Raw genomic sequence first — 14,234 nt, 5'->3', positions numbered from 1 at the left:
ATTCATTCCTCCCACATATATTTGTGGAGCAGCTAATAATAACATGTTAACAGTAGATACATTTATTGAGGCTCTACCATGTACTAAGCTGTGCGTGTCTGTGTGTGTGTGTGTGTGTGTGTGTATGAGAGCCATATATATATATATATATATGAGGGAATATATATTCTTTCATATATACATATATATTTTTATCTTTCTTAACATATGTAAAATCTTTTCTGTACGTATAATCTCTAAGCCTCACCAACTCTACAATATTATTGATATTGATATTATCTCTACTTTAGATACAGGAAAATTTAGGTTCAGTTATGTTAAGCACCTTGCCCAAGGTTTTTCTACTGATTCACAACCTCACGTTCTTTTCTTTGTTCTATGCCAGGTCACGAGTCAGACACAGGGTGAGCAGGAATCAGTGGCCTAGCTTTCACTCACAGGGGCCTGCAGTTTGGTTATTACCAAGCCTCCCAAAAGGACCTGATACGTTGGTTTTTGGATCACATGGTGGCTGCAGATGTGCTCAGTGGGGTGTCCAGGAGAGGCTGGGTTTAAGACAGTTCCCACATGCTGGCTGTAGCATTTGGGGCAGGACACTTAATAGCTTTGACTCTGTTTTCTCATGTTTGAACTGGGATTACACCTTCCTGGTGGGTTTGCTGAGAAGATGGGAAGATGTCCATATCTTCCTATATGTATATCTAAGGTGCCCATCACATGGCTAGAGCTTAATAAGGGATAGCTGGCCTTATGAACTTCTTTTGAGCCTACGCATTCATAGTTGGGTCACGTAAGCTCTATCTAGGTTTCTAAATCCCATGTAGAATCTTCCCTTTCTCTAATCTAAATGTAACATCTTTCAGGAGGAGCTAAATTCATATTGTACCCGAGCAGCTATAAACGATCACTCTGTCACTGGAGGAAAACGCTGTGCCCACATAGAGATGCCACCAAGAAACCGGCCTTTTTAAGCTGTTGACTTTTTCTTGGCTTGTTTTTATAGGTGTTGGTGGAAATAACCCAGATGAAGAAAAGAATAGCACAGCCAATTCTGGGGTCTCCTCTACAGACATCCTGAGCTTCGGGTACCAGGGAAGTTTGTTGTCACACACACAAGACCAGGACAGAAATACTGAAGAACTAGACATGGCTGGGGTGCAGAGCTTAGTGCCCAGGCTGAGACATCAGCTTTCCTTTCTGCCGTTAAAGGTAATCATCCCTTGGTTTACTTTCTAGATCTGGATGAAAGAGAACAGACTGTGAAGCCCAACAGCCTGGCCCCTAGGCCCTTCCTGTTCTCTGTTTTCCATGTCAGGTGGATGGAAGTTACTTAGCCCCTTTGAGCCACAGCTTCCTCATTTGCATACAGAAGCAAATGCCTGCATGGCATGGTTGTTGAGAAAAACGCATAGAAGAAGGCAGAGTTCTAGGACAGTGTCTGGGCACAGGCTCAGTGTGGGTGCCTCTGGAGTCTTTAGTCACTAATTATAATTGTTGTGATAATAGCACCATGAGGAAATTGATTGCTGCCAATGGCAAGGCGTGGGCAACCAGGCACCTCCTATTCTTGTCCTTGAATTGGTCCTCAAGCTGGGAACTCAGTGGCTTTGCTCTTGACCATACCCCATGGAGGAAGAAGATGGGATCTGGAGTAGGTGTATGGAGGGCTGTGTGCTTCAGTCCCAGCTCTGCTGTCCTCTGCCGTCTCTTTGGATTCCCAGTGGTGTTGTCTTCTCAGGCCCCGCCAGACCCATGCCCCAGCCTCTCCATTCTGCTCTGGGCCCTGCACAGCTGGTGCTCATGGACTGAGTCACCTTGCTGTGTTCTGCTTGGTTCTGCCCAGTCGAAGCCTCAGCAGGAGCCCGCAGTTGTGGGATGAGTGAGGACAGGGTGGCAGTGCTGGAGTCTCAGTTGCACACCCTTCATTCCACTCTTTCCCTGTGCTGACACAGGTTGCCTGTGCCCCTCTACAAAGAGCACAGCTCCTATCAGGGTCCATCGACCACTCCCTTCTCTCGCCCTTCAGGCTCAGGGGTGGTCACAGCACCCAGTGTTTCCAGCCCCAGGTGCTGAACTGATATTACTGGTTTCTCCAAAGGCTGGCAAGACCTTTGAAAACAGGTCTCCCACGACCTATCCTCCCTTACTCAGGCTGAGTGTATGCCCTTCTCATTCTTGCTGGGACAACTTGCTGGTTGAAACAGGCAGGTTATTGCACCTCTTTCAACCTCGTTTCTCTTTTTATGATGGAGATAATGATGTCTGTCCACAGCCGTGGAAACTAAGGTACTATGCCCAGTGTCGGGGATAAAACCCGTATCTTTCTTCTACTCATCTTAGCTTCATCAGCTGGGACCCCTGTAACTAAAGACAGATTAATGAGAGAAAAGCATCCACGTGTATTTACTATAAGTTTTATGTGACATGTGAGCCTTCTTATGGAAATGACCTGAAGAAACAGTTCTCCCTGAGTATATTTGATGAAGAATGGAGAGTCATGGAGAAATGAGATAAGACAAAAAGCAGGAGTATGTAAGGTGGGAGGAACTCAGCAAGGCCTGCTTGTTCAGATTCCTCTCTCAGTCCCTGTGTCTTCCCACATAAGATGCTCCATTTTTCCAGATATAGGGAGGGCATTCTCACTTGAGGGTCTTGTGCCCTGCTTCGGGGGAAGATTAGAAAATCCTTCCTAGGTTTTAGGGCCTGCTTCAGAAGAGAAGGGCAGGGGAAGGTCAGAGAAACCTTCCCTCATGTGCTGTTTCTCCAATTCCTCCAATGTGCCAAGGTGCCCTATTTTGGGGTAGTGTGTCTTGACCTCTGTCACAAGGATCTGGCATGCAATAGGGCTCCATGAATGACAGTGCCTTCCTAATTGGCCATGGTGCTCACCTGGACAGAACATCCCATGAGGAACTGGATGCAGGAGGCCAGTGGAAGAACAACGATAGTAGCTGCCATTAATTGAGTGCTTACCTGTGTGCCAGGCAGTGTCCTGAGCACTTTATATGTATTAGCTCATGGAAGCTCCATGGTAACCCAATGAGATCATTCCTATTATCAACCCCTTTTATGGGTGGGGTATCTGAGACAGAAAGAGCAAAGGAGCACACCCAAGCTCTCTCAGGGAGCAGGGGACAGAGCTGGGATTCGGATTGGCCTCCAGAGCAGAAACCTTCACCCCAGGCCTTCCTCTGGTAGGTCCTCTCTGGCAGGAAGCAGAGCAGAGAGGCCTTCACGCTGGGGCTTCTTTGGTGGCAAACCTGAGAGTTGGTTTCCTGGGGCTGGGGGCCGTTGAGGGGAGCAAGGGAGCTCTAAGGCCACGTTGACCATGGTGCAGGCTGTAGGACCCAACCCAGATGCTGCAGGCTCTTCTGGGTCTCTTGGCCAACTTTGTGGCCAGATGATCCTCTGTGGTATGGTGGACTTTAGATTCTCACTTCAGGTCTCAACCTCAGCAGTTGAGGCTTCGTTGTTCAGCTTCCTCCAGCTTGTCTATTTTCCTGCGTGTCGTTAGAATTTTCTAACATTCATGGTGATTAGAAAGCACTAAGTAAAGGGGGCAGACAGGACAAAAGACCCCATCTTCTAGGCAGAGGGACAGCAGAACATGAACAGTGACCCAAGCATTCTCTGCCTAGAAGTGGCATCAGCCCAGCCCATCACTCCCTCATCTTCCTCCTGCTTTGTCTGAGGTCACATGCAGAAGGCCTGATAAAGCTGGAAATGAATCCCCTGCTGGCCCAATCCAAAGCTCATGATCTTTCTGAGGTGCAATGCTGCCTGCTCCTGAGAGCAGTATGAGCTAAGAGGTGACATCTTCCTTCATCCCATCTTTATTTTTGTTTGTTTGTTTATGGCAGGGTGCTGGTTCTTCTTGTCCTCCATCACCTCCAGAAATCAGTGCTGGTGAAATCTACTTTGTGGAACTGGTTAAAGAAGATGGGACACTTGGATTCAGTGTAACTGTAAGAGTTTTTAGGAGAGCTTGAAAAGCAGTTAACAAGATGTCCGTCTAGAACCTGGTGGCCATTCCACCCAGATGGCAACCTCTGACAGTGTGCTTAGTTTGCACAAATGTAAGGGGTAAATAAAAAAGCCAGTGGGGGCCTGCACTGGGGGATGAGTTCAGAGACAAACAGAGGTACTGGGGAACCTCAGGATGAGCAGGGCATGCACTAGGGGACTCCAAACTCATGAGGAGGCAGTGTGGGCAGAGTTGGCTGATGTGTCCTGACTCTGAGGTCAAGCTGGACTGCAGAGAGAGAGAAGCACATTGGGGCTTCAGGGACACAAGCTAAAGGTAAGAAGGGCAGTCCACTGTCATCTGGCCAAGGATGGGTGGGGCAGTCCACTGTCATCCAGCATAGAATCAGTGTGGAGCCTCTTGCTCAGACATCCCAGGGCCAGGCCTCCATCAGGACTGACACTTTCCATTTGGTTTCTGAGCTCTGCCTGGTAGACCCTTGTGAAAGGAGATTACCCATATAACTGTGTTTACCCAAGGGGTTGGGGAATGGCACACACAAAGCTGGTGAAAATCCAGAGGTCAGAGGTTGGAAGGTGCTGCTTTTATTACTGAGTATTGAAAGTGATCCATTACAGGCTGGGCTCGGTGGCTCATGACTGTAATCCCAGAACTTTGGGAGGCCGAGGCGGGTGGATCGCAAGGTCAGGAGATTGAGACTATCCTGGCTAACATGGTGAAACCCCATCTCTACTAAAAAATAAAAAAAAAAATTAGCTGGATGTGATAGCGGGCACCTGTAGTCCCAGCTACTCGGGAGGCTGAGGCAGGAGAATGGCGTGAACCTGGGAGGGGGAGTTTGCAGTGAGCCGAGATCACAACACTGCACTCCAGCCTGGGCGACAGAGTGAGACTCTGTCTCAAAAAAAAAAAAAAAAAAGTGATCCATTACCTTCAGACCCTGGAATGGGTCTGGATTTCAGGAATGTCATTGTTGGATTTAACTGTTGATGGGAAATAGAATGACATCTCCCACCAAAGTAAGGACACTCTATGGCTGATGAAAATTTTCAGAGGAAATTCAAGAGATATGTGAATGGAGGGCATTCTTTGCTTTCCCCTGTGATAATGCTATGTACCTAGAGCAAGAATATGTGTTTTCTTGGACCCTAAGCCTGCAATGAATTTGTCATCAGTAGATGATTTTAAGGGACCAAGTAAGAAACCAAGCAATAAGGCTCATGAATCCACATGGAGTGAACAGGCTGATACCAAATATGGTCCATTTATTCTTGGCTTGGGGTAACAGCCTTATCAGACACCAAACATAGCTATTTTTCATCTGAAAAACTGACTAAATTTTGGGTTATTCACAAATATATATTTGCTGAGAAGAGGTTGATGATTTCCTTTGGCTGGCAAAAACTTGGATTTTCTTTGCAGATATTTAATTTCAAAAATAATTCTTGAAATGTCTCACTCAAATCCAAATGGCCATTAAACACATGAAAAACACTCAAACCCGTGAAAAGCCACAGGAATACAAATTAAATTAAAATAAAATTTTAAACTTTATGTCTACCAGCTTGGCCAAATATAGCTGGTGGAATGTAGAAAAATGGTACTGTCATACAAAGCTGGTAGAAATGTGAATAAGTATATCCATATTCACATAGGGATGCAATCTGGCAACATGTATTATAATGAAAAATGCACATATCCTTTGGCCCATCAAAGCACACAAGACGTGCCAGGCACAAGCCTTCAGGCCCACAGCCATATCCACCTACGCTGGTCACTACCTATATAGAGATAGTGGTGCATCCCACGTGAGCAGTTGCTGAGCACCCGCCTTGTACCAGTGCTTGGGCTGGGGACATGCCCAGATCTCTCACATAGTTGCTATTGTTAAGCTTATGAACACCTAATCTTATTGCTCAGTGGAGAATACAATCTAAACGAACAGGTGAATACAGAAGACAGTGCCAGTCGGAGGTAAGGTCATGGGATAGAGTGGTGGGCAGGTGGGGATTCCCTTAGCTGGGGAGGTTGGGGAGGCTTCCTGGAGGAGGAAAGATGGGTGGTGAGTTTTTTGTTGTGTTTTTCAGGGTGGCATTAACACCAGTGTGCCATATGGTGGTATCTATGTGAAATCCATTGTTCCTGGAGGACCAGCTGCCAAGGAAGGGCAGATCCTACAGGGTGAGAGATGGGGATGGGTCCTCATTGGGAACTCTGTGCTCCATGGTGTAAAGAGCCCTGCACTGGGAGGGGCAGCCTCTAGGCCTTGCCCTGCTCCCATTCTGAAAACTCATGCAAATGATTGCCTCCCCAGGTCATACTTTTCTCACCTGGAAAGGAGGTGATAGAACCTGCCCTGCCCATTTGATAGGTTGGGGGGTCTGCAGTGGCACACTGGGAAGCATAGGTGATAGAAAAATAGTAGAAGACTTAAAAGACTTGTGTTGCTCTTTGGCCTCCATGGGAAAACATACTGCTTCCCTTGGAGGACAAGTGGGCCTCGGTAAACTCACTCGCACATCCGGGGAGGACACCTGAGCCTTCTGTTTGCCCTTGCTCAGCTCCCACTTCTCTGATGGAAGGGGGTGATTTTTACTGGTCTCCAAAACTGCCAGAATTGAGCCAAAAGGGGAACCTAGGATCTTACTTATCTCCATTTCCCCTAGAATTCTGGTGTCCCCAGCGTCAACCATGCCTCCCTGACCTTTTTTTGAAATAAAAAAAATACATGCTGGAGATATAAATATCTAAGTGACTTGAAAATACTTCCAAAAATGGTTTCACAGGAAAACAGGAGGAAGGATAAGGTTGAACAGAGCTGGCTCAACCATTCTGTGAGCCAATAATAGAAAGGCTTTTATATCCCTGATCTGTGATGTGCCTGAGAAGAAGGGAGTGAGACTGCTCAGAGAGGCAGGATTCCTGCTGACTCCAGGGGGACACCTGGCACCTCAGCTTCCTTTCCCACTTCTCCAGGCTGCATGGAGGGGTGCCGGGCAGGGGCCTCCTGGAAGGGAACCTCCTGCAGCCTCAAGCACCAGGTCATGACATGACATCTATCCCTTTCCCAGGTGACCGACTCCTGCAGGTGGATGGAGTGATTCTGTGCGGCCTCACCCACAAGCAGGCTGTGCAGTGCCTGACGGGTCCTGGGCAGGTGAGTGGACTGTTGCTGACCAGCTTCCCCTCCTTCCGGAACTTTCCTGAACAACATCAGAAGCTGAAATCGCCTCTGGGTGGGAGGGAGGCAGGCAAGAAACAAGACTTTTTCTTTGTTAGTTTTTTTTTTCTCTTCCATTTCTTCTTACCCTCACTTTTCTATGGGGATGTGAAACCCAGGAGATAGCAGATAGATGTTTCTGAGTAAAAAAAATCTCACCCCCCATAGATAGCCTTAGAAACTTACTGGTGGCTTGCCTGAATTCTGGAATCAGACAGCGGAATGGAGAAGATGGAGTGAAGAGACTGCTCTAGCCTGGCTCTGGCTGCCCCAGCCCCGCTGGCCCTGTGTCCATGGGCCTTCTTACCTCCCTACGTTTGCATAGGATGACCCCACTCCGTTCCCTGTTCATGCCATTCCCCCTCACCCTGTGTTGTACCCACCAGGGCGTGGGTCAGAGTGTCCTGGGATTCTTTTCCTCACAATGAGGTAGGAATTCAGGGTGCCAAGAGCAGAGCCATTCATCCTTTATGTCCCCTTTATTCCCTGCCCCGCAGTGACTCGATGTTATCCCACTGTGCCGAGTCCTCTGCCTGAGGTTAGGAGCCTCTAACTGCCTCTGTGTCCTGAGCCACAGAGCTGGCATCACCCTCTTTTGGCAACTAAAAAGTCAACAGAGACAGGAGGGATTCCTGAAGGCCCTTCCAGCAAGCTTGGGGCAATGTTCTGGCCACTTTTCGCTTTCTTTCCCAAAGCGGTTTTCTGGTGTCTGGTGAAATTTGCTTATATTAGTGACTTTGGTTGACCTATCTTGAGAACAGAGCCATAATTTATTGGCACCTTCTGATATTTAGACCTTTGCTAATGAGCATGGGTAGAGAGGGTACTTGGCTGGCCTCCTGGCAGCTTAAGCAGGTAGGAATTGTCCCTCTGGGATCCTGGGCCAGGTGCTGAGTGACAGGTGCAACAGGAAGATGAAGGCAGGGCCACATGCCCTGAATGGGAGCTTGGCATTTCTGAGAAGCTTCCAGGTGATGTCTATCTGCTGGTTCTTGAATCACACTTAGGGCGACAAGGGTATATGGTGTTGTGGGGAGAAATGTGGGAAATCACATTGGAAAGAAAGGGGAGGGCAGGTGGTACAGACCTGGGGTGCCATGGGTTTGGGTCTTAGGTGATGGGAAGCATTGGAGACTTTAAATCAAGAATGTTGCATGTTCAGTTTTTGTCTTAGACCAATTCACTGGCAGCCATGATGGGGTGGACCAAGAAGGGTGCAGACAGGGTCCAGTGAGCCAAGGTAACCAGAGCTTGCCACGGCCCAGCGGGTCACTGGCAGTGAGAGAGGAGGTGGAGGGGAGGGGGCACTGAGGAGCTGTTCTTGATGGGGAATGTTCACATCTTAGAAACCAGATGGGGGAGAGCTGGACCACTCCAAATGTGGCCCTTGGCAGGTTAATGGTGGGGTGAGCCAATGCGAGGGGAGGAGTGTTTTAGGAAGAACGAGGAGGGGAAGTGAGGGTGAGTGAGGGGAGGAAGATGAGTGTGGCACTGCATGTGTGAAGTGGAGGTACATGTGTTGCTTTCAGGTGCACTTGTCTAATAAGCACTGAGAAATCTGGGTCTAGATCCCAATATATAGGCTAGTTGAGAGATTCAAATGAGTCTGCTTATAGGAAGGATTCGAAAATTAAGAAGCATTTGCAGAGTCAAGGGAGTGCCTCCTGGTTGCCATATGAAGTGTAAACTGAGTTTGTTCACCTTTCCTTCTAGGTTGCAAGACTGGTCTTAGAGAGAAGAGTCCCCAGGAGTACACAGCAGTGTCCTTCTGCTAATGACAGCATGGGAGATGAACGCACGGCTGTTTCCTTGGTAACAGCCTTGCCTGGCAGGCCTTCGAGCTGTGTCTCAGTGACAGATGGTGAGAGGGGAGAGAATTGAGTGTTACTATTGTCATGTTATTGTGTGCCGCTTTTGAATTGTCAAGTCAAAAGGGAAAGGCAGGAAGGCTTCCTCTGGGTCCTGAAAAGAAAGCGAGCCATAGTGATCATGCTGAGATCTGCTTTTTCATGCCATGGAAGCCCATCTCATGGAATAGGTTTCTGGAAACAAATGCATTTTCCCCAAATTATTTCTAGGCATCTTTCTGCCCCCAGCCTTCCTCAGTCCTTTGATCAGCTGCCAGAATGTTAATGTTTGTGTGAATATTTAGGATGAAATTGACTGAAAGGGTCATACACTTTCAGATACATTTGGCTTCACAGTCCAGCCAAGTCATTTGTAACAAAGTTATTTGAGGAATGACTAGGCAGGTTGGGAGAGAAGGTTCAGGAATCTAGCCTTGTTATTAGCATCATTTTAAAAGGCAAACGAAAGATCGTTTAGAGGGACAAAACTGCACGTTTTCCGATGGGCTGCCCCTCTGCAATTCCCTTGTGATTTTGGTATTTGCCAGGAACACGCTGATTTCCTCAGTAAGAACGATTTGGACCTTAGCCATGTTTTAGTCCCTTCATAGAGATTTTCTGATTTTGCTGCAGAAGACTCAAGCCAGCCATAGGGTAGGGGTGGGGCAAAGGGGCATGCTTCTGTTTAAATCAAGTCTCCTCTGTCCTCACCCCTTTGCTCACTCCCTTGGGGCCTTTGAGAAATGGACTCCAAAGAGTGGAGGAGGCCTTAGGGCGATGGTAGAACTGGTCGTGTGACACACCTTCACATAATTGCTTCACATAATTGCTTCACATGCTTCCATTCTTGCCCTGGTGAAGTTTGCAAGCTGTGCTCTGTCCCTCTGTGCATTGATGCCAGCGGGGCAGCCCAGAGGCCTCTTTGGTGGACAGACCATGTAGGTTGCCAGCTCTGTTCATCCTTGGTGCCCAGAGGCAACTGTTTTGTCTTATGGTCAGCCTACATGGGTAAACAAAATGGCAGCTAAAGCATTGTCCATAGAATTGGCCATAATTTTCTCCATGGTCTAATTATGCAAAATTTAGTTTCAAGTATACTACAAATGACTAGAGTTCTAAAGGAGTAATAGGAATGTATGTGATACAAGTTTTATTAAATGCCAAGAGCATGTTGTGTATGCCTAGCAGCTATATCTTTATGTATAAACATAGTTGAGTTATCTATAATTGTGCTATTCAATATGGTAGCCACTTGCCACATGTGGTTATTGAGGACTTGAAATGTGACCAATCTAAATGGATAAAATATGTATTGGATTTTGAAAGCTTAGTTCGTAAGAAGAATAAAAAATATCTCGTTAATAATTTTTTCATATTGATGACATGTTGAAGTGGTAATATTTTAGATATATGGGATTAAATTAGATGTACGATTATAGCGTATTTAACCTGTTTCCTTTTACTTTTTAAATTGTTTTATTTATTTTTTGTTTGCTTTTTCCTTTTATTTTAATGTAGCTATTTGAAAACTTCAAAATGACATTTGTGGTTTGTATTTATAGCTCACATTATATTTTATTGGACAGCACTAATCTATAACATACATAATGTACTCTGTCATAAAATTAGCAAAGGAATTATTTGAACGTAAAAGAAATAATTCATCTACTTGACAATTTGCATTTTGAGACTGGTCAATTTCACTTGTAATCTACTGAAGAATTTATTTTTATCAACATCCCACACTACAGGTCCTAAGTTTGAAGTCAAACTAAAAAAGAATGCCAATGGTTTGGGATTCAGTTTCGTGCAGATGGAGAAAGAGAGCTGCAGCCATCTCAAAAGTGATCTTGTGAGGATTAAGAGGCTCTTTCCGGGGCAGCCAGCTGAGGAGAATGGGGCCATTGCAGCTGGTGACATTATCCTGGCCGTGAATGGAAGGTCCACGGAAGGCCTCATCTTCCAGGTGCCGGGGGTCATGGGCAATGCAGCTCTCTGTGCAGGCTGGCCCCAGCTTTGCCTCTTACTAGCCTGCTGCCGTGGGGAAAACTCTGGGCTCTCAAAAATCATACCAGCAGCCCGGATTTTAATCACACAAAGAGAGTAATTAGTGGTACATGCTCACATTTAATTTAAAATCTCTGTTTTTAAATATCTGACCTTGAGTCAGCCTTGCTTCTCACTGGGTTCATGAGAGAAGCTGAAGATAAAGCCCTGGCCTTTGTGCTGGCTGACGTCTCTTCACACACATCCTGGGAGGTGGGCATGGGGCTGAAGGGACTAGAGTGGGTCCCTTTCTGCTCTCCTTCCCATTTCTCAACACATTTACAGCTTTTCATACATTATTACACTGATTGTCCTGTCTATGATAAAAAATGCAATTTAAGAAGAGAGAGTAATGAAATACTGTATATATTAGACAGAGTCCTGGAAGAAAATGGAGTCATTTGAGGAACATTTAATAAAGGTGTGGGCAGGTTGTTAGGAAGCTCAAGGGAGCATGTTGTGGCCTAGGGCTAGGAAGAGTGGGATGCAGTTACCCCTATCCTGAGGCCAAAGGGGAAGGGAAAGAGCAGTTATTCCACCCCAGGAATGGAGAGCTGTTGGAGGGGACTCGCTGGCATGAGCTCTCACCTTGGCTGAGGTTGTAGTCGTCCCATGGCAACCTGAAGGGAGGAATTTGGAAGGAGCAATGACCTCCGCTCCTCCCTGTCTCTGGTCTCTTGCCGTGTTCCCCTAGCTGAGCCCAACAGGAAGCCTCATGCAGCCTTTATAAGTCAGCTCCAGAAACACAAAGCAAGATGGACAAAGGGGGACAGTGGCTCTGGGCAGGGCTGGGGGGAGGTCTCTAGAACACCATATGCTTGGGTGGGAGGGCATGCCTTCATCCATCCATCTCCTGATCCAAGAACCCTTCTCTGAGAACCACTGCTGGGCTGGCAACTCTATGAGAGACTGAAGACACAGAGGAAGACAGCTCATGCAGTTTCAGAGCTCATGGACAGAAAACAGCGGTGATGGCAGGAGATATGTATCCTGAGAGATGAAAGCCCATGCTGCAGTGCTCACACCAGTGAGCCAGGAAAGAAGTGCACCCCTTGGAAGTCCTGTGTGGCTGAAGCAGGGACTGGGGAGTGTCTTGATCAGCAGTTCTTAAGCAGAGATTATTTCCTTCTCATGGGATATTTGATTAAGTCCAGAGACATTTGTGATTGTCACAACTGATGAGTGCTTCTGGCATCTAGTGAGTAGAGATCAGAGATGCTGCTAAACAACCTACAATGCACAGGACAGGCATTCGCATAAGGAATTGTCCAGCCTGAGAGGTCAACAGTGCCAAGAGTTTGAGAAATCCTGGTCTAAATAGGAAATAGGAGCTATCGAGGCAACCTTGAACCCTGGACATTGAGAGGGTGGCTTGGAGCAACAGATTCAGCATGGCAGGGGCTTAGGACGTGGGTGCAGAGGGGAGTAGATGGGAGAGAGGGAACTGTGGTGAGAGGCAGAGGCAGGCAGAAACGGGGTCTATGTGCTATGCCTTGGAGCTTACATTGAGGGAAAAGTGAGTCAGCCAGGGTGTGCAGTGGGGGAAGGACTCAGTTATATCTGCACTGTGGAAAACTACCCTTGAGCATTGCAGAGGGAGGCAGGTGGGTGACACTGGAGAAGGCAGCAAGCAGTGAGGAGGTCACTGCAATACTACAGGTGAGAGGTTCCCAGAGCCCAAGCCGAGCCCTGATAGGAAGCTCAGAGCCAAGGGTCAGGCTTTAGAGATTCAGATGGTGGAGGCTGCAAAATTGCTGGCCCAAGATGAGGGCAGGTTGGGAGGAAAGGGCAATTGAGATGAACAGCTATTTGTTGGAGTCATTCTTTCTCTCTCTGAAGAAAAGGCATTGGTATTGGCAGATATTGCCATTCCCTTGAGCAATGTGGAAGGAGGCAGGTGGGTGACACTGGTGAAGGCAGGGAGCGGAGAGGAGGTTACTGCAATATTACAGATGAGAGGTTCCCAGAACCCAAGCTGCACAAAGGTGATGCACAGCCCAGCATCTTGCATCAACTTTGTGGAAGCTGCAGGCCACTGACCTTGGTTCCTTGCACTTTGAAAAGTCAGGCCCACAGCAGGGTTCTCCGGAGTTCTCTGGAGTGAGAAATAGATCAAGGTGCAGGGAGGAGGAGCTAGTGCCTGGGACGCAGTGGGGAGAACATCACTGCATCCCCAGCAATGCAAGCCCAAATCTAACAGTGAATCTTGGTTTTTCGCAGGAGGTGCTGCATTTACTGAGAGGGGCCCCACAGGAAGTCACGCTCCTCCTTTGCCGACCCCCTCCAGGTGCGCTGCCTGAGCTGGAGCAGGAATGGCAGGTAGGCTGCAGTGTCTTCTACTCTCTCTACCTGGCTCTGGTTGGGCCCCCCTTTTCCAGACTCTAGGGTCCTAAGAGGGTTGTAGATAGGTTCAGTGCCACCTCCTTTCACAGGGGTAGGAAAATAGCTGGCCCCCAAACCTCAGTAGGTCTCCTTCCTCTCCCTGATTCTGCCTCTTCTGACATTTGGGTCTTCTTGTAGATGTTTACATGTTTAGACTTTGGCTGTGAAACTTTTAGGGCCAGGCTCTCTGGAAGCTCAGGCATCAGAGAGGGAAGCCTGGGAAGAAGGAGAGTAGACACAGAAGCAGACCAAGGGAATTTCCAATAAGAATTTCCATTCTGAGAGATGATGTGGAAAATAGGATATATGATTACCCTCCTAAAGCATGAAATAGGCACGTGCAGTCTGGTTCAAAGAAGAGAGCCATTGGAATCAGGAAAATAGGGATTTTTACCTTGACACATATATTAGTCAGGTTCTCAGAGAAATAGAACAGATAGAATGAGTGTGTGTGTGTGTGTGTTTATGTGTGTGTTTATATATGAAGAGAGTGAGAGAAAGAGATTTATTATAGGAATTGGTTCATGTGATTTTGAGGGCTGGCCAGTCCAATTCTACAGGGGAGGCCAGCAGGCTGGAGACCCAGAGAATAATTGATGGAGATCAAGCCCAAAGGTGGTCTGGAGGCAGAACTCCCTCCTCCTCAGAGAGGTCAGTCTTTCCTCTTAAGGGCTTCAGCTGACAGCATGAGGCCCACTACATTATGGAAGACAATCTGTTTTACTCAAAGTTTGCTGATTTAAATGTCAAATCA

The 14,234-nt window shown here is 47.3% G+C and overlaps 1 protein-coding gene across 6 annotated transcripts in view; it reads left to right on the top strand.

The window, feature by feature from the left end:
- Positions 1-14,234, top strand: part of FRMPD2 (FERM and PDZ domain containing 2) — a 118,337-nt gene that overhangs the window by 92,884 nt on the left and 11,219 nt on the right. For 2 of the 6 annotated variants that reach the window (NM_001318191.1, NM_001018071.4), the window contains 7 exon segments: positions 1,004-1,209; positions 3,861-3,965; positions 6,073-6,166; positions 7,057-7,142; positions 8,919-9,066; positions 10,804-11,018; positions 13,319-13,417. In NM_001318191.1, coding sequence (NP_001305120.1) covers positions 1,004-1,209; positions 3,861-3,965; positions 6,073-6,166; positions 7,057-7,142; positions 8,919-9,066; positions 10,804-11,018; positions 13,319-13,417 — 953 coding nt within the window. 6 annotated transcript variants of the gene reach the window in all.

Source organism: Homo sapiens, chromosome 10 (assembly GCF_000001405.40).
Source record: "Homo sapiens chromosome 10, GRCh38.p14 Primary Assembly".
Lineage (NCBI taxonomy): Eukaryota > Metazoa > Chordata > Mammalia > Primates > Hominidae > Homo > Homo sapiens.
Note: the sequence above shows the minus strand (reverse complement) of the source record. Positions and strands in the feature narration are given on the sequence as shown.